General features: G+C 38.5%; 1 protein-coding gene across 7 annotated transcripts in view; it reads left to right on the top strand.

Annotated features, from left to right (window-relative positions):
* Positions 1–20,528, top strand: part of LIFR (LIF receptor subunit alpha) — a 133,736-nt gene that overhangs the window by 103,572 nt on the left and 9,636 nt on the right. For 6 of the 7 annotated variants that reach the window (XM_017009463.2, NM_002310.6, XM_047417172.1 and 3 more), the window contains 9 exons: positions 711–856; positions 2,033–2,195; positions 5,249–5,319; positions 8,237–8,450; positions 11,047–11,226; positions 14,541–14,642; positions 15,587–15,754; positions 18,852–19,013; positions 19,964–20,057. In XM_017009463.2, coding sequence (XP_016864952.1) covers positions 711–856; positions 2,033–2,195; positions 5,249–5,319; positions 8,237–8,450; positions 11,047–11,226; positions 14,541–14,642; positions 15,587–15,754; positions 18,852–19,013; positions 19,964–20,057 — 1,300 coding nt within the window. The remainder of the gene's footprint in view (positions 1–710; positions 857–2,032; positions 2,196–5,248; positions 5,320–8,236; positions 8,451–11,046; positions 11,227–14,540; positions 14,643–15,586; positions 15,755–18,851; positions 19,014–19,963; positions 20,058–20,528) is intronic. The other variant, NM_001364298.2, reaches the window with a different exon arrangement.

Here is a 20,528-nt window from a genome sequence, read left to right as displayed (position 1 = left end):
CCTGTCGTCTTTGCGATTTCTGGATTTTTCCTAGTGTCACCATGGCTACATTTTATCCTTGCATGGTAGTATTTGTATGTATTTGTCTGCCCTCTGCCATTTCAGCCTTATTTCCCATGTGATTCTTTCCCGCCACTCAACTGGGCATACACACTATCACCAGTGTAATATGCAGTTTGCCTCGCTGTACCTTCATTATTGGCATCTCTGCCTAAAATGCTTTTCTGCATTTTTTTTGGCTAATTTTTGTCTGATTCTTCCTGCATAGCTCATCTTAAGTTCCATCTTCACTGTAAGACTTACCTTACCATGCTTACATTTACATAGTGGTTAATATCTGTATCATTCATTTAGAACTTGGCATTTATATTCTTATTAATTACCTTTCTTTCTTTTTTCTTTTCTTTTTTTTTTTTGGTCATTCCCTAAGTAAATTAGAAGTTCCTTAAAGGTAGATACTGTGATCTTAACTACCTTTGAGTATTCCTGACACTAATTTAAGAGCTTTGAGCATGATCGATTGTTTAAAAATGTTGGCAAGATGTCAGTAGTAGAAATTAGGTTTGTCAATTCCACAAATACTGGGTAGGATGTTGTTGGTCAGCACTAATGATGCCTCGTTGTTTTTTATGTTTTCTTCTCATTTGTCATATTAGAAGATAGTTTTTCCCTTTAAATAAGTGTTTAATCTTTAAAAATTATATTTGCAGTTTATCCCCATACTCCTACTTCATTCAAAGTGAAGGATATTAATTCAACAGCTGTTAAACTTTCTTGGCATTTACCAGGCAACTTTGCAAAGATTAATTTTTTATGTGAAATTGAAATTAAGAAATCTAATTCAGTACAAGAGCAGGTAAGATTCTCTTAAAGACTTCCTTTGTGATTATTTTGGATAAAATAGTTCTCAAAAAGAATTAAGCAAATTGATATGCTTAAGCTCTCAGATTATTTATTATAGAGATTTACTAAGAACCAAGAAAGACATTACTATCCATGTAATAACAGCATTGTATCATTTGAAAAACAATTGTAAATATGACTTTTACTCCTCAGAATGTTCCCAGATGCACTATAGTACCTGGCACATAGCTGGTGCTCCGTAAATTTGTGAATGAATGAGTAGTTTTTGCTGTAACTTTTAGCATCATTAATGGATGAATTGGCACTAGACAGCAGAAGTGATTTTTTAAAACTGTGAAGTGTGGCAGTGGGAACAAGCTGTAATTGGTACTTAAAAGTCACAACATGACTTTTTAATACATTTTAAATATTTAGGTTGACTTTTATATTATACTATCTTGTAATTTGTGGTAAGTCTGAAATAAATGAGGTGTACTTAACTATTCATTTGGAAATTTACTGATGTCTAGAAAATCAGTCACAACTGTAAAATATAACCTGAAAACCTTCTTTGTAATGTTTTGGGGAGCTCAGAGGCTTTTGTGAAACAGGCAGATATTCAAATTTGTTTAGAAATGTTTCATTTTAACTATATTTACTTAGTTTAAGGAAGTATTTGTTGAATATTTGCTACATGTTTAGCATCATACTAGAAGTTCTAAGTGTCATATTAACAAAGATGCACAAAAGGTAATGCCTGCCTCCAAGAAACTTCCAAATATCATCCAAATAATACATTTATTCCTCACAGTCATCTCAAATTATAAATCACATTAAGGTTTATTGCATCACCATTAGCCCTTTGATTATCAAAATTATATAATCCTTTAGATAATTTAATTGACCATTATTACTTAGAGCCAGTATTTGGATTAAAAAGATAACCCAATTTTTTATTACTATTACAGGGCATAATTTCATTGGCTTGGCAGGTATATAAGAATTAAAATATTACAGTGGATAAACTGCTTTGGGTGTTACATATACAAACTCATTGACATTCCGTTGGTTTGTGTTACAAATGTGAAGGCTTTCTTACCAAAAAAAAGTGTATGTATGTGTATGTATATATATATGTATTCATACACATAATATATACATATATATATATTTATTTGTTTTCCAATAGCGGAATGTCACAATCAAAGGAGTAGAAAATTCAAGTTATCTTGTTGCTCTGGACAAGTTAAATCCATACACTCTATATACTTTTCGGATTCGTTGTTCTACTGAAACTTTCTGGAAATGGAGCAAATGGAGCAATAAAAAACAACATTTAACAACAGAAGCCAGTAAGTTAACTAAGTGATGTATGGCTAATAATTACTGTGTATTCTGAAGTTTTACAACTTCTTTAAAAAGAAGATGTTGGCCGGGTGCAGTGGGTCACACCTGTAATCCCAGCACTTTGGGAGGCCGAGGTGGGCAGATTACCTGAGGTTGGGAGTTTGAGACCAGCCTGACCAATATGGAGAAACCCCATCTCTACTAAAAATACAAAATTAGCTGGGCATGGTGGTGCATGCCTGTAACCCCAGCTATTTGGGAGGCTGAGGCAGGAGTGAATCGTTTGAATCTGGGAGGCGGAGGTTGCAGTGAGCCAAGATTGCGCCATTGCACTCCAGCCTGGGCAACAAGAGTGAAACTCCGTCTCTAAATAAGAAAAAAAAAATGCTATTAGAGTCCTTAAAGGTGGGGGAATGTTTAGATAAATTATGTAATACCTGCTAATAAAATATCACAGATATTTTAAATGATAGTTTTGAAGTTTTGTCATAGTATAGAAAAATGATTGGCATAAATTATGAGAAAGCCAGGGCTCCTCTATCTATACTATGATTGCCACCATATTACGATAATGCATAGAATGATTTTTCTCCCATTCTTTTCTGCTTGGAATTTTAATTATGCTTTTAACTCATTGGCCTTTTTTTTAAAAAAAAAAAACAATTACTAAAAAAGAGAATTTGTTAGTTTTTATTTGTGACCTAGACCTGAGAAATGTGGCTAAAAGGTCTTGAACTTCAGTTTCTGTAGTATACCCAGGTCAAGTTAGGTATAAAATCAGGTAACTGGTTTTCTAAATATGATAATTTCCAAAGACAGAATGATATTCTATCTTCGAATAACCAGATGTCAGGTGTAAAAAAAAAAAAACTCAGAAATAGGTTTAATTTTTTATTTTTTTGAGACAGAGTCTCACTTTGTCACCTAGGCTGGAGTGCAATGGCGCGATCTCGGCTCACTGCAATGTCCGCCTCCCGGGTTCAAGTGATTCTCCTGCCTCAGCCTCCCAAGTAGGGGCCCCACCACCACGCCCGGCTAATTTTTGTATTTTTAGTAGAGATGGGGTTTCACCGTGTTGGTCAGGCTGGTCTCGAACTCCTGACCTTGTGATGTGCCTGCCTTGGCCTCCCAAAGTACTGGGATTACAGGCGTGAGCCACTGTGCCCGGCCGAAATAGGTTTAATTTTTAGGAATCATTTAACAAAAGATAGCAAAAGCTTTATTTATATTATGCAGTATAATACTTCCTCCAAAAATTTAAGAAATAGCAAAGCAAATAAATGATAGATGTTAATCTAGATTTTTGCCTCTCCACATGAAGACATGTGAAGAATAGAGATGAGGGCATTTTGCGACATGTGTAAGAATTACTTGTATCATCAAAAGTGAAAGCTATGCATGAGTACAGAGAGGGAGGATATGAGTTATCTATTGCTGTGCAACAAATTACCCTAAAATTCAGTGGCTTAACACAGCAGATGTTTATGATCTTCCCATTTCTATGGGTTAAAAATCCAGGAGCAGCTTAGCTGGATCTCTCTGACTTGGAGTCTTTCATGAGGCTGCAGTCAGGAATGTGGGTGGGGACTGCAGGCTTCACTGGGGCTAGAGGATCCACTTTCAAGATGGTTCACTCATGTGGCTAAAGGCAGGAGGCCTCAGTTCCTCACCTTGTGGGCCTCTCTCTAGGCCTGCTTAAGTGTGCTCATGACATGGCAGCCAGTTCCTCCCAGAGCCGGTGACTGAACAGTATCTTTTATGCTCTAAAATCGGAAGTAACATACCATTATGTCTACTGCACACTGTTGGTCACACAGGCCAACCCTGATGCAATGTGGGAGGGCACCACGCACATGGGGATTATTGGTCATTTTGGAGACTAGCCACTGTAGTTTTTGCCTTCAGTTAATGAGCTGTTGTCTCCAAGAGGAAACATCTTATTTGCACCTCATTAAGATGAAGGCATCAATTTACTCAACAAATATTTACTGAGTATGCATTACAGATTGAACATACGTAATCTGAAAACCTGAAATGCTCCAAGATCCAAAACTTTTTGAGCACCACCAGGATGCCACAAATGGAAAATTCCACACTTAAGTACTTAACACAAATTTGTTTCATGCACAGAATTATTTAAAATATTGTATGAAATTACCTTCAGGCTGTGTGTATAAGGTGTATGTGAAACATAAATGAATTTTATGTGTTCTTGGATCCCATCCTCCAAGATATTTCATTATGTATATGCAGATATTCTACAATTAGAAAAAATCCAAAATCTGAAACACTTTTGCTCCCAAGCATTTCGGATGAGGGATACTCAACCTGTATGTGTCTGGAATTGTTCTAGTTAGCAGTGATATAGCAGCAGATAAAACAGAGATCTCGGCCTATGGAGTTTGTAGGATCCAGGACTAGAAATAAATTTATATATATACACATCTATATGTATGTATGTACACACACAAACACAAAGACACAGACACATCAGTTTATCAGCTGGTGACAAATGCCACAGAGGAGAGGAAGTGATAGGAATAGAGGCTGAGGGATAAGGAGGGGGTGAAGGGAATGGCAGTTTTAAATAGGGTAGTTAGAAAAGACCTCACTAATAAGGTAATACTCAAGCTGAGATACAAAGATCAGGAAGCATGCCATATTGTTTTTATCTAGGAGAAGAGAGTTGTAGGCAGAGGAAGAGAGGGCACAGAAGATGCAGAGAGCCTGAGGCAGTTGTGTCTTTGGCATATCTGAGGGACAGCCAGGAAGCCAGTGTGTGGCCAAGAAAGGAGGGAGTGAGAGGATGTGAGGCAGAGGGGAACCCAGGGAATCAGTACAGCTGGCCTGCAGGTAGATTTTCACCCATTCGAGGGGGCCGTGTGTTTTGCAAAAGTTGTTGAGAGCTTAGATTTTCCATTGCTTCATTTTCTAAGTGGAAGCCACTGAACTGCTTCACGTTTTATTGAGAATTCCAAACATCCTAGAAAAAAAATGCCAAGCACCATATACATATAGTATGTGTCTTCAGATATTAACTTTAAAATCTCCTTTTTAGGTCCTTCAAAGGGGCCTGATACTTGGAGAGAGTGGAGTTCTGATGGAAAAAATTTAATAATCTATTGGAAGGTAAATATCTAATTTTTCTGTGAACATTTACATTACTTTGCTAAACTGCTTAACTTACGCATGGTACTTGGGTTATCAAGGAGCTGAAACTTCCCAGACTGGCTTTTGTTGCAATATTGGTGAGAATCTAACCTGGTTCCTAAACCCCCCAAATTCCTCGTCACTCCTAACTCCCCACAGTCATTTGAGGATCTCCTGTGTCAGATCTGAGCCTTCTCGAGTTTGATCTTATAAGGCCTGTAAAGGACCTGAAGATTTCATGAATTCCATCTCCCTCACTTCAGTCAAAATCTGTAGGTTAGAATCCTAAGTGTTTGTTATATTTTTTTCTATTAATAGGAAAGTAAATTTTTATATACTTCATGTGTAATTTATTTCCCTTCAATAAATTGCATTATAACATGCCAGTTATAAAGTTTTGTATGATTTTGTAAAGTATTTAGATGAAATATGAATTGCATATTTTACTAATTTTTCTCTGCTGGAACATTTTTTGTTGCCATATTTTTAAGTATTTTATGAATATCAAAAACATGAACAATTGTTTTCTATATTAGATTTTACACAAGCAGTCATAATAGGATTCCTTTAAATAGTGAATTTTGTTATGGAAAGTAAAACATAATTTTATTTAAAAAAACTTTTGACGTCGATACAGCTTTGAGTAAAGTGAAGTGTACATGCAGGTTCAATGTGAGTTCCATTGCTTTGAGATTGTATTTGACTGTTACATCCACTCTTGATTAGAAAATCCCCCAGCTACTCTCAGTTGCCTGTCAGATTTCATGATAATATAGCAACGATTATACAATTTACTTCAATATACGAAAGTTTGAAATATTGTTCAAACTAGACGAAAACTTAAGACTAAAAACATTGAAATGATTTAGATTCTAGCTTCATTATCTATGCTGATGGTGCCGCCATTTGCCAAGTCAGAGTGTGTTCGGGTAGAAATTATGTAGTTTTGGTCATAGTGAGTTTTCAAAAGGTATGCCACTGGGATATCATGAGTAGAGTTCAGTAGGCGGTTTGATATATGTAAGGCTCTGGAGCTCAGGGGAGAGGTTGGCACTGAAAACAGCTTTGAGTAGCATATAAATGGGATCACTTGGAGATGCAAGGTGAAAAGTGGGCCAGGGATGGAGCCCAGGTGACAGCAGCATGCATAGAACCAGCAGAGGAGGAGGAACCAGCAGAGGAGATGGGGAAGGTTTAGAGGGGCAGGAACAACGAAGAAAATAGAATTAGAGAAGCTGGGGGAGGAGGACATTTCAAACAGTGTGTGGTCTGGAGTATCCCAAGAAGCCCATAAGTCTTAGGACTAAAGCCTGCCCCTTAGAGCAGGCCATTTGGAGCATCACAGAGACCTCTGCTGGAGCAGAGTGTTTCGCAGTGTTAGATCATCCTCAGTCTTGACCAGAGAGCCCCATACATTGGTGTATAAATTAAGGCAGTTGTTATGAAAAGCAGTTCAGTATAAATGAAGAGGTTTGAATGTTCATTTGTTTTTATACAGTAAGTTCACTTTTAGAAATTCATATTAAAAATTTCTATGAAAAAGAAAAAAAGTGGCACAAAAAAGTTCACCAAAATATTTGTTTTAGTATTGTGAAAAATTAGAAACAACTTAAATTTCATTTATTTAAGGGATATTCAAGTACACTGGTAAAAATGCTACATAAGACATAAAACCATGAAAATGTATATAACTGTATTATGGACAAGCGTATATTAGCATATATTATGGAAAAGTAAAAAGTAAAATGGTGTAATATGATTAAAACAATGTTAGTAAAAAAATCTATACCTAGAAAAACAACTTGAAAGAAATATCAAAATGAAAGAATACTTAAGAGGTGGGAATATGGGAGATTTTTACTTGTTTCAACTTCTATATATTTTCCAAATTTTCTGTAGTGGGCATGTAATACTTTAAAATGAGAAAACAAATGTTTAGAAAAAAACCCATGATGCTATTTTTTAAAATGTTTTGTTTGTTGCTAAGTAGAGCAGTGCTTCTGGATAGTTTTAAAAGTTTTGCTCCTGAAAAATGTGGAGATAAATATTGTTTTTTATTCACTTAATTTTTAAATTTTTGTGTACTCTTACTGCTTATAGCAAGTATAGTTTTTCTTCAGTGTCTCTTTCCTGATTTACCCTGCTCCCAGTGGATTTTAAATCTGTGTTTTACACTGTTGAGAGATTCATTTTTGCTGTTGTTGTTGTTGAGACAGAGTCTCGCTCTTTGAACCAGTCTGGAGTGCAGTGGCACAAACTCAGCTCACTGTGACCTCCACCTGCCAGGTTCAAGTGATTCTCCCGCCTCAGCCTCCTGAGGTGCCACCATGCCTGGCTAATTTTTGTATTTTTAGTAGAGACAGGGTTTCATGTTTGTCATGTTTGGCAGGCTGGTCTCGAACTGCTGACCTCATGATCCGCCTGCCTCGGCCTCCCAAAGTGCTGGGATTATAGGCGCACTTGGCCAGCTTCATCTTTTCTGATACTACCTTGTAACTGGTTGTTTTTTGTTTTTGAGATGGAGTCTCGCTCTGTTGCTCAGACTGGAGTACAGTGGCATGATCTTGGCTCACTGCAACCTTCACCTCCTGGCTTCAAGTGATTGTCCTGCCTCAGCCTCCCAAGTAGCTGGGATTACAGGCGCTCACCACCACACCTGGTTAATTTTAGTATTTTTGGGAGAGACTGGGTTTCACCATGTTGGCCAGGCTGGTCTCGAACTCCTGACTTCAAGTGATCCACCTGCCTCGGCCTAAGTGCTGGAATTATAAGCGTGAGTCACCACGCCTGGCCAACCTTGTTATTGTTAATATAGTGTCCAGTTTAAACCCAATTACCTTGCCTAGTCACAGTCACGTTTTGCAGGGTTTTATAACAATTTGTCTGTTTTTCATAGCCTTTACCCATTAATGAAGCTAATGGAAAAATACTTTCCTACAATGTATCGTGTTCATCAGATGAGGAAACACAGTCCCTTTCTGAAATCCCTGATCCTCAGCACAAAGCAGAGATACGACTTGATAAGAATGACTACATCATCAGCGTAGTGGCTAAAAATTCTGTGGGCTCATCACCACCTTCCAAAATAGCGAGTATGGAAATTCCAAATGGTGAGTGCTTGAGATGATTTAGTATATAAGAACGGGAAACTAAAGTGAGAAATGTCTGATGTTACTTGCTCTTTTGTCATGTCAGCCTTCTTCTCGTATACCTTGTTGCTGCTGACCTAGAAGGCAGAATGAGCAGATTGATGTCTACAGTTCATTGAGAAAGAAGTCATTAGTATTGACTTGAAGCATGTGCACTGATGGATACAATCATTACTGTACTCAGTAACTATAGTGGATAATATTGGAGAGTTACAGTGGTGGATAGTACTTTTAGGAAGAAATATTTTAAGAGTTTATTCAAATGATATTCAGACGCTTCTCCAAGACACTTCCCCAAGACTAGGAAAGTTTATTTTAGGTCAGCTAGGCTGTTTTGCAAATTGTTGGGCAGGAAAAAAAAAAAACGCTTATTTTAATTAGCACCTTTTTTGATAAGAAATTCCTTATTAATAGAAATTCTTTATTGATTAAAAAAAGTCTTCTTAAGGTATAAATTAGATCTTCAATATAGGCCTTAGAAAAACAACTGTGGTGTAGTTTTTAAAATTTAGTGCCTTTCTTTAAATTTTACAGATGTCCAGTGATTAATACATTCTTCCCAGCTTCTGCCTTGACAACTTTGAGAGTTATGAGCTTTAAACGGCCACTTCCACCTCTTCTTCCACAGACCTCTGTGCTCCAGTCATTTTCTGCCTACCCACCTTTGCTCTCTTGCCCCGATATGGGAGCACCTTTCTGTAACCACAGCTCCTAGAGGAAGAAAAATTGGTCCAGTTAGGGTCCTCTAAGTAGCTTTCCAACTCCAGTTTGAGGCTGTTTCTTATTGTTACTTGACTGCATCTTTGTTCTCTTTGAGTCAGTCATAGGAGAATTAGGAGGAAGGAAGGGGGAAAACAAAGTGCATTTCAGAGATACAAACCCCAGGCAGCAGTGCTGCTGGAGATGCACAGGGGTTGTGGCAGGTGCTGGGAGGAGGGGCTTAATAATGGCTTCTTCATTTTGGCCTGGCAAAAATAACAAAATAAAAAATGAAGGAGACAGAGATGTGAACATCCATAAGAAGATAACATACTGATTTAGATTATATGTTTCATTGCACTCACAATGCTAGGCAATAGCTATGTTGTCTTTTAATTCAGGAAACATAATCCTACCTTTTCTGTGTATCCCTTAGAAAATGGTAATTTACAGAACTAGCAATTCTGTCATCAGCTTCCAGACACTTTCTGAAACCCCAGAACAAATCCTCATTCCTTGAGGATTTCCCGAGTGGAGGGAGGCTCTGCAGCCTCAACTCAGGTTTACACTGTGGCTTTTTAATCACGTTGAGCAAAAAAAGCTGTTATGTCCGAAGTGTTCTCTATTCTCAGCCAAATTGTTGTCTTGCGTTTAGTAGTAGTTGCTTTATGAATGTACATTTTGTTCAAAAAACTTGTCTGTGTTTATTTTTACTGAACCCTTAAATATAAATCAGTTATAGCTATTAGTTACTTTCTCCTGTTACAGTGGGTAATGTCTGTGTTGGTTTTACTGAACGCTCTCTGTAGCCTGTGGGTGATTAAGTACTCTCCCATGGCTGCATCCCGTCAAGGGCCGCTCACCTGCAGTTTGCAGGCTCCTGAGCATCTGGCTCCTGCGACAATTACTCGTCTAAAAATTTATTCTTAGAAACCTTTCTATGTTTGTTTTTACTGAACCCTTAAATACAAATCAGTTATAAAATCTACCTCTTTTCTCCTGTTACGGTGGGAAATTTTCTTCTCCCTTTTGACCACACTGCCCTATCTTCTACCCCAATTCTTCACCCCCAGCCTGGGGTTCCACTTCTTACCTAGGCCAAGATCTGGCAAGACAGGGAAACAAAACCTTGCCAGGGCCTCTGCGCCTGTCTTCTGCCCTCAGCCTTTGCCCCTTGCCCCTTGCCCCTTGCCCCTTGGTGTCTCCTAGGACGCTGTGCAGACTTCTCCTTCTCAGTGTCCACACTGGCCATCCCACCTCATCGCCTCTGGGTGTCTCCACAGCTTTCTCCCTTGCCCCCACCCTACCCCTGGTCAGCCAGACAACCCCTTCAGCCCAGCTCTTGGGCTGCAGTCTTCGTTGAAAGAAAGAGGGGGCTAGTTCTTCTGCTGTTTCCACAAGTTTGTTGTGTGCCTACTCTGCACATTGTACTGGGCCCCGCTTGTTCTCTGCACGCATTCATAGTGAGTGATGAGAGGAGGGCTTCAGACTGTCCACTGTCCCCTCCCCAGTCTCCCTCTCCCACCCTGTCCCAGCCAGTGTCCTTAGCTGCGTCCTTCCTGTGCCTTGATCTTGATGTCCTAGTCCCAGTATGTCACTACCTGATCCTAGGCGCTTTTTAAAAACGACTTTCTTTGAGCTGCTGTGTTAATCTATGTATACAGGTAAGTGCTACAGTTGTTAAAATGAAAATAACAGAGCAACACTTCTAATCTTTGCTCTAGGTTTATCTAGTTTGAGCACTATTTTATAATTTCTTCACAATGAAGTGATTTTTCTAACTCATGTCCATTTTTATGAGATTTGCCTTATATTATTGTTTTTAATGCCAGTAAAATATCCTCCTTTCTTATTGAAGATGATCTCAAAATAGAACAAGTTGTTGGGATGGGAAAGGGGATTCTCCTCACCTGGCATTACGACCCCAACATGACTTGCGACTACGTCATTAAGTGGTGTAACTCGTCTCGGTCGGAACCATGCCTTATGGACTGGAGAAAAGTTCCCTCAAACAGCACTGAAACTGTAATAGAATCTGGTAAGATGAATTAGTGTCTCTCAATTAAGTTCTACAAAATATTTTTAAAAGGCAACACGTAAGACTGGGTGCAGTGAAGTGATTCTCTTTACTGCTGGATGGGTATAAATAGGTTTGACTTTCCTGGGAGGGTAGTTGTGGCAGCACATGGAAGGATCCAAACCCTTTGATCTGGTAATTACTGGTCTAGAAATTTATTCTTAGAAATAATCAGAGAACAACACAGATTTAATCTAAGAATGTTCATGACAGTATTATTGATAATTGTGAAAAATTAAAAACCCAAATAGCAAATAAGGGAATGAGTAAATGATGGTACACCTATAAAATGGAATGTTAAGTAACATTAAAAATTATGTGGAAAATTAAATAAATGTTCATGAAAAAAAAAAACTACGGAACTGTAGCCTGGTCTCACACAAGGGCCTTTGCCTTGTTTGCCCAGGGTCCAGGTTACCAAGGTTAGGGAGAGACTGAGCACAAAGACCGTGAACCCCTTACCACTTAACCCTGATGCAGGGCAAGGGGGCATCGGCTGGACTGAGCGCAGTGTGGGTGGGAGGCCTTGCGTTCCATGAGCCTGATGCTCAGGAGCTTGTGAGCTGCCGGTGAGTGTCCCTCTATGGGATGCAGCCTGAGAAGTTTTTCCACAGAGGAGTGTTTAATAACCTACAGGCTAATCCAGCCTTGTCCTTAGGAATTAGAGCCCTCTCTGCAATATCATCGTTGTTTTCCTGGCACAATGGGAGTGTATCCTGCCTGTCCCCATGGGATTTCTGGACCCTGTAGCTTGTCAGTAGTGATGCTTCGTGATCATTCCTGTCTCCTGCCTCCCTCGCGTGTTAGGGAAGTGCAGAAGAGCAAGCAGCCTGCTCCTTACCTCTCTCTCAGGGAACACTTTCTACTTGCTTACTGTTTCTCTCTCAGATGATGAGGATGGGTCCCATTCATTGGATTATCATGTATGAGTTCAGATTATTTTCCAGTTCTACTTGGAATACAGCCAAACTCCTCCACATGTATAATTGGCTGAAGTGGTAATGATCTTCCTGAGTTGTTCCCTTTATCCTTCCTTACAGTGCACTGTACTTATCAAGGACCCAGCCACATGCTACCCTTCTTTTCCTGCACCTTCCCTTCCATCCCCTCCCATGTTGCTGAATGAGCCTTACACGATTCCAGTCTGTCCTTTCTCACCTGAGCTTTTAGAATAATCAGGATGGACTGGGATAGGCTGGAGTGGATATAAATGGAGTATCTACCCATTTAAGTTTTAGCTGAGACCTGCAGGATATGGGGAAGCTGCCCCGCGATGATTGTGGGAAGAGAACTTTCTGTGCCAACTCAATTGAACAAAGACACAAAGCTTGAGAAAACAAAAACTCAGAGAAGTTAGGTGCCTTTTCCAAGGTCACAAAATTAGTATGTGATAGAACCCAGGTTCAAATTCAGAGTTATTCAGAGCTTCAAGAGGCTGGGAATATTGTCTTTTATTTACTGCTGAGCTTCTGGAACAGCAAGTGGCACATAGTAGGCACACCTTTTATTCCTCTCTCATCCTGTTCTCTACTCATTAAGCTGTCCACTCTCTTTTTTGACCTTAGCACATTCCTAATGCTCTAACCTTCTCAGCCTCTTTTTTTAAAGTGTCAGAGCCCTATAAAATATTGTTAATAAATAATTTTAACATAAAAAGAGGTACAGATTTACAGATGTACATGCAGTATAAAATGATAACCTCAAGCATACCTTTCTCCAAAGAAAAATGTTACAAAACTAAACACAGTTGGCTGAGCTTGAGTTGCATTACTGCATACTTAGGACGTGCCAGCACATAACAAACGTTTAAGGAAAGTGATTACAAGAAGAAAAGTTAATATTTTAGACAAGTTGATTCAGTTTTTCTTGGGTTGTATGATGTTAGAAGTTGACTACTGTCTCAAATTGGAGCCTGTAGGCCACTGGTGTTTTATAGGCACTTGATTGGAGAACTAATGCTTTAACCACACCAGAATAATTGCATTCTGCAAATTAAATGCAATGCCATATGCTGCCAATCCCCCCTGCGTGTCCCCCGGCATTATCTTCTTTCTCGACCACCACTGATGAGCATCTAATTGCCCTTCAAGGCCTTATTCAGATGGCCCTTATTGTAGCTGTTTCTGATCTTTTTAGACTCATTTGGCCCCTCACTTAAGATTCCATGGCATCTGATACATACCTCTAATATAACACACTGTTATGGTTACCCTTGTTCGTCTGTCTTCCCCACCACTCTGCAAGTGTCTCCATGCTTGACGTTTTGTGCATGTCTGTGTTGCTCACATTGTACACATTGCATTGTATTCAGGAGACATTTAAAAGCAGCCTTTTGAATTTAAGTTAAGGTACTTCAATTGGAAGTACCTCTATGTCCTGTGGAGTTAATTCAAAGTATTTCTATATCTTGTGGAGTTAACTCACCCAAGGACACTTAATGGTGATGTTATAAAGAGGAATAAACTCTAAGACCTAATTCCTTTAACACTGAAGCTTCAAGGCAGAGTGCAACTTTTAATTCTGCTTCTTGGAACAAGAGGAGAGAGCAGTGGGTTTGTTTGCTTTTTCCAACTCAGAAATAACACTAGGTAAGGAAGGGATTTATAGAGGCATGATGTGGACCTCGAATGAATGGCTTAGTGAACTGACCCAGGAAGTTGATGTAGACTTACATTTTGTTCATTAAAATCAAGCAGTTGCCAGCACTTTGGGAGGCCAAGGTGGGTGGGTCACGAGGTCAGGAGTTTGAGACCAACCTGGCCAAGATGGTGAAACCCTTTCTCTACTAAAAATACAAAAATTAGCCAGGTGCGGTGGCGGGCACCTGTAATCCCAGCTACTTGGGAGGCTGAGGCAGGAGAATCACTTGAACCCGGGAGGCGGAAGTTGCAGTGAGCTAAGATCATGACCCTGCACTCCAGCCTGGGCGACAAAGCAAGACTCCGTCAAAGAAAAAAAAAAAAAAATCAAGCAATGATGATTTCTTCCTGGAAAAAGGAACAAAATGTAAGCCTTAAATCATCGTTGTTCTCTTCAATGCAATCCCATCTTATATTACTAAACTTTTTGTTAAAATAGAAGTAAATTTAATTTTTGTTTAGTCAATTTTCTTTTGAATATTTACTAGTCTTTAAAATATATATGTATTTTTTAATAAGAAAACATCTTTAAAATTAGCTTTGGAAATTTTAGAGTATGTTATGAACTTGATGTTTCTAAAATAGATATTCATAGTAATATATTTATGAAAGTTTGCTGATATGTTCATCCTATAGATGAGTTTCGACCAGGTATAAGATATAATTTTTTCCTGTATGGATGCAGAAATCAAGGATATCAATTATTACGCTCCATGATTGGATATATAGAAGAATTGGGTAAGTTAAATGGGTACTTATTTATAAGAGCTCAAGGCAACATGAGAAATTATAAATTGGCAACAATGGTATGATTGAATTCTAAAAATAAGATGTATAATTGAAGGAAGGTAAAATAATTTGATAAATTAAAAAGTATTTGATTACTACTTTTTTCTCCTCCTCCTCTTTTTTTTTTTTTTTTTTTTTTTTTTTGAGAGAGGGTCTTACTCTGTCACCCAGGCTGGAGTGCAGTGGTGAGATCATGGCTCTCTTCAGCCTCAACCTCCTGGGCTCAGGTGATCCTCCCACCTCAGCCTCCTGGGTAGCTGGGACTACAGGTGCATGCCACCATGCTCAGCTAATTTTTTTTTTTTTTTGTAGAGATGAGGTTTCATTATGTTGCCCAGGCTGGTCTCAAAATTCCTGGGCTCAAACGATCCTCCCACCTCAGCCTCCTAAAGTGCTGGGATTACAGGCATCAGCCACTGCACTGGGCCTGCTTACTCTGAAATCATTTGTTGAATGTTTACATTTCACAATTTTACTCGTCCTCAGGAAAATTAAATCTGAACTTGGATGTCAAAAATATTTAATTAGTACTTTTACAAGTTTAAAAAACTATTAACTTCTTCAGGACTATCAATAAAGATGTGAAATACAAATGAAGTCTATCTGAATAGCCACTGAAAGATTTTGCATAGATTGCTTCCCTAGATATGTGTTTGTCTAAAAGGGATATTGTAAGTTCTACCTTTGTTCCTAAAAATATTTTTGTCTATGGTTATTAGTATGTAAGCTTCACAAAAAAAGCGTTTGTGATCATCTCTCTCTGAAAGTTTATGATTAAATAAAGTTTTAATTCCAAGTTGAATTATTTTTGAGGCTAGAAAGCTCAGGAAACATTACTGTATTACTCTGTATTCATACACTCCCCTTTAGCAATTGACTTTTTCCTTTTACAGCTCCCATTGTTGCACCAAATTTTACTGTTGAGGATACTTCTGCAGATTCGATATTAGTAAAATGGGAAGACATTCCTGTGGAAGAACTTAGAGGCTTTTTAAGAGGATATTTGTTTTACTTTGGAAAAGGAGAAAGAGACACATCTAAGATGAGGGTTTTAGAATCAGGTGAGTAAATTGATAGCACAAGGAAAGTGTTTCTTAGAAGTTTCTCATTAACCACAACAGAAAAAAAAGGAAAGTCCTGCTCAGTAGTTTAGTACTGGTTTTCAAAACTATCTGAAAGATAGAGAAATGAAAAGGCAGTAATTCTATGAATATAAGAGTTTTAAGATTTTAGTGTGCAATAATGACATGTATAGTCTTTCAGAAATCATTTAAATCATTTATTCTGAAGCCGTTGATTATAAGCCTCATAGGACAGAAACCATCTCTTATTAGAGCTGTACATAATCCATAACAAGGCATCTCATGAAGTTTACTTCCAAAAAGAAATCTTTTACTTACAGCAGTGGAGGAGAAAAACTCAGGAATCCAAAGAGTTAGCTTCAGATCCTCAGTTGTAATTTGACAAAAAACCATTGGCCTATTAGCGTCTTAGCCATGCCCTTGATAAGCTGGAAAACTTAATTGACTTGATTGGGGATGTATTAAAAAGTACAGACAATCCTTGGAAATCGGCAAGTGTACATCCAAAGACTTTAGAGAATTCTCAGATTTACAAATACAAAATTGTACAGATTTCTGGCTTTTCCTTTCATTATGTTTCTGCTGAGAATCAGATATTTCTTATTCATAGCTGCATAACACAAGCATATCATCTTTTCAGTTTGAGAGCTTTCATGTCCCTGGATGACCTCGCCTCAGAAAGAAATCATTTTAATTATTTAATGCCTGTCTGAGAAATAGAGAACTCCACCACGGTATGGCAGTGCTGGCCGAGCACTGTCTCAGTCACTCCCTAGAACACCTGCAGAAAGTGTGTGCCTCCCCTTCGGTCCCCAAGTTCTGCATTTCCTGAACCTTCATGATTGCTGGTGAATGAGGGACATCCTGAATATCAAATTCCACAAACATCCAGAGCCTAGTGTGACTTGCCTCACATGCTTGGAAATTTTACACTTGAACCAGTTAAAATTCTAGCATCTGGATTTCCAGTGAGACATGGTAGATGGGTCACTAAAGTTAGCATAAAGAAGGGGAAACACCCCCAAACTCTAATAAAGCCACAAGGAGAGAACAGAAGAGGCAAAACAACACTGAAAAAGAAGATTCAGAAATTTGTGGGTGGAAGTGGGGCAAATGACTTAAATGAGTGGAAGATTGTGAAATCTGTGTGGGCAGTCAGGCATTGTTGAGAAGGAACTTCTCCAGTACCTGCCAGACCAGGCCTTGGAGGCTGAGTGGTGAGGATCAATCTGGTCTGAACGGAGGGGTCGATTGAAGAACGTTCCTTAGAACTGAAGGGCCTAACTACAAGCAGATCCCCTTCTCCGCTGTTTCACTTACCATGGTTTCGCTTTCTGCCATTTCAGTTACCCCTGGCAAAAAGCAGTCTGAAAATAGATGAGTTCAGTACAATAAGATACTTTAAGAAAGAGAGAGACCATATTTACGTAATTTTTATTACAGTATATTGTTATAATTATTCTCTGAGGAAAATGGGCGGACTACTGTATATAGAGCCAAAGAATTCATTAAATACACAGCAAAATAAATAGAAAAAAGATCTATGCCAAGGTATGTCATTATGAATTTTCCAAGCAGCTAATGTGAAAGAAATGATCAGAGACAAGCAGGTCATGTGCAAGCAATCAGGAATAATAATGGCAATAGACAGCCCAGCAACACTCCAGATACTAGAAGTCTCTTCAAAATACTGAATGAAAATTATTTTCAACCTAAAATTCGATACTCCACCAGTCTGTCAACCAACGTGAGAGAGAAATGCAGATATTTTGTACATGCGAGGCTGCAAACATTTACTTTCCCCATGTTGCTTTTCTCAAGAAGCTACTAGAAGAGTGCATCCTAATGAGGAAATGAAGTGAGGCCGGTCCAGGAAGCCACAGGGGAGAGAGAGCAGGGAGCTCCAGGAGGGCCTCAGCCCTGAAGGCATCCAGTCTAGTGCAGGAGGCAAGGGATGGGTGGAGGGGAGGGCAGAGAAGATGTGGACCTGGGATTTTGTTGTGTTTGACCACGTGGAAAATCTGAGTGTACATTGGAGGATATGGGAAGAATTATTGACTGGTATGTAGAAAATCAAGCAAATGAGGGAAAAAGCAGTTATAACAATGGGAAAACAAGATAGGAAACATGATGACACCAAGCAATGTGTCTTAGCAGTAACTCATATTTATATAATCATAGTAATCCAAACACTGAATTCATCAAAAGTTCCGATGTTTCTATACGAATGATGTGGTGGGGGAAAGGGTGATGGTAGCGTAAAAGAGCTCTATCTTTATCTGCCCTTATAAAGTATGTGTAGATAAGGTCTAATAGTTAAAAGTCACATCTCTCTAAGTTTGCTACTTTGGAATATAGAGATAAATACCCAAAGAAACTTGATTACATGGCTTTTACAGTGGTTGTAGGGGGCGAGGGGAGGAGCTGGTAGAGAACTGTCACTTTTTGTTAGTAACCATTTAGTACTATTTAATTTTTTAACCTGTTATCCTGCATTATTCTGGTTAAATTTTTAAAAATAAAATAGTAGTTCAAATGATTCCTCACTCTTCCTTTTGAAGTTATAACCCAAAGGATTTCTCATTAGTCTTATTTGAGAGTCCCCATCACACTGATCCTTTTTCTAAGTGGTTTGGAGTCATCTCTATTGATCTGCAGGTTTGCTTCATCCCATCTTTCACTCTCACTCATGGGAAGGCTCAGCCTAAGTGGCTTTTGGTTGTGGTGGTTTTCATGCTTTTAGTAGCAGAAATGGGACTATTATTGATTGCCTGCTGTGTGCCAGGCATTATGCTACAGAATGTGTGTGAAAACTTCAAACAGCTTAAGTCATGATATTCTATTTCATCAGTAGAAAAACTCCACTTGAGAGTGGTTTAAATAAGGGGCCCATACGACACAGCTAATGACTGGCGTGGGGGTAGAGCTTGAACAAGGTAGTGGCAGCTCCAGAGTCCTTGGCTGGGATGGCCTCAGCTAGACCCACTTAGAAGGGCAGTTGGTGAGACAGGTGTGGGTAACCATGCATTTGAAACGGGTTAGAGATTAGTGCTAACATACTTCATTTTAAAAATAGGTCGTTCTGACATAAAAGTTAAGAATATTACTGACATATCCCAGAAGACACTGAGAATTGCTGATCTTCAAGGTAAAACAAGTTACCACCTGGTCTTGCGAGCCTATACAGATGGTGGAGTGGGCCCGGAGAAGAGTATGTATGTGGTGACAAAGGAAAATTGTAAGTTTCAGGTTGCTGTTGAGGTGCTTTCCATCCTGCATGCGTAGTGTTCTAGTGATTCTTGGTTTATGTAGGAACCCCTCCCCGCCCTTTCTAAAAAACATTCACATTTTGTTGCAGTTTTTGGCTGGTAGAGGGAAGGGTTAAAAAGCTGTAAGATTACTTCATGTTTATTCTTGTCAGTTATTTGAAGTTATTTCCAAATGAGTACCTAAGAAATTAATGAATTTGGGATACATCTGAAGTCTAGAGGTCTAAAGTCATATTGAATTTATCTAACGGTCAACATTTAAAAATATTTTGCTCCAGCTGTTATGTGATTTCTAACATATCTAGGGAAAAGTGAAGGAGATATTCTTAAAAAAATTTTTTGTAAAGCACAACACTCAAATTTGAGAGAAGAGTGATGGCCTTGACTATCTTTCTGCGGTAAAGAACTTCACTTCGATCATAGGCTTATCCTCTACCCCTGAGTTGGAGTTCACACACAGCTCTTATATAAAGAGCCATGAGGATATGGTTCTATAAAGCAGTGATTCTCAACGGAGAGTGATTTTGTCACCTAAGAGATACTTGGCACTGTCTCGTGTCATTTTTGGTTGTCATAACTGGGGGATACTGCTGGTATCTAGCGGTGAGAGGCCATGGATGCTGTTAAACTTCCAGTAGTGCAAGGACTGTCTCCCCTGATCCTCTAGTGAAGATCTGTCTGGCCTAAAATGTCACAAGTATCAAGATTGAGAAACCCTACTTGGAAGAGTTTAAGTATTTGTATAAAAATTATCACAATACCTGAAAGTTTGATTTTAATAGTTTTTCAGTGTCCCTGCAGCAGTTAATTTTGTTTTTTTCCTAAATAATTTACCAACCTAAATACCTTCTAACATACATCTATTCTGTACTTCACACTAAAAATGGCGATTTTAATATTTGCAATACTCTCGTTTCAGCTGTGGGATTAATTATTGCCATTCTCATCCCAGTGGCAGTGGCTGTCATTGTTGGAGTGGTGACAAGTATCCTTTGCTATCGGAAACGAGAATGGTAATAGTTCTGCATTTACTCTTGCTGTTTTCTTCTTAAAGGCATGATTATAAGATTTGTAAGATTAGTTTATGTATTAAATAAGTGTATCTTTTTTGTTGTAATAAGTTAGTTAAAAAATGTTTTAATTAGAATTAATGTTGGATTTAATATTAAGAACATGACATATTATTTAAAGGTCTTAATAGAGTCAATGTGTAAATTTTTTCTACTATTTTTCCTAATAATTTAAAGTCATAGCAGTTACTATTATAAAAAATATTTATAGGCTGAAATATGGCAATAGCTATCTACAAGATTAAGCATAATTTAATGATTAAGATCTCACTTGCCCTGGTGACCTATTTAGAAAATCTGGTCATTTTAATCATTTGCTCATTTATTCAACAAATATGAATGACCTCTTCCATGTGAAGGGGGATATCATATCGTGGTGCACAAAACAAGCCATGGCTCTTATAGACTTGGAGC

The sequence above is a fragment of the Homo sapiens genome, chromosome 5 (assembly GCF_000001405.40).
Source record: "Homo sapiens chromosome 5, GRCh38.p14 Primary Assembly".
NCBI classification, from domain to species: Eukaryota; Metazoa; Chordata; class Mammalia; order Primates; family Hominidae; genus Homo; species Homo sapiens.
This window is presented reverse-complemented; position numbering and strand designations above follow the sequence as displayed.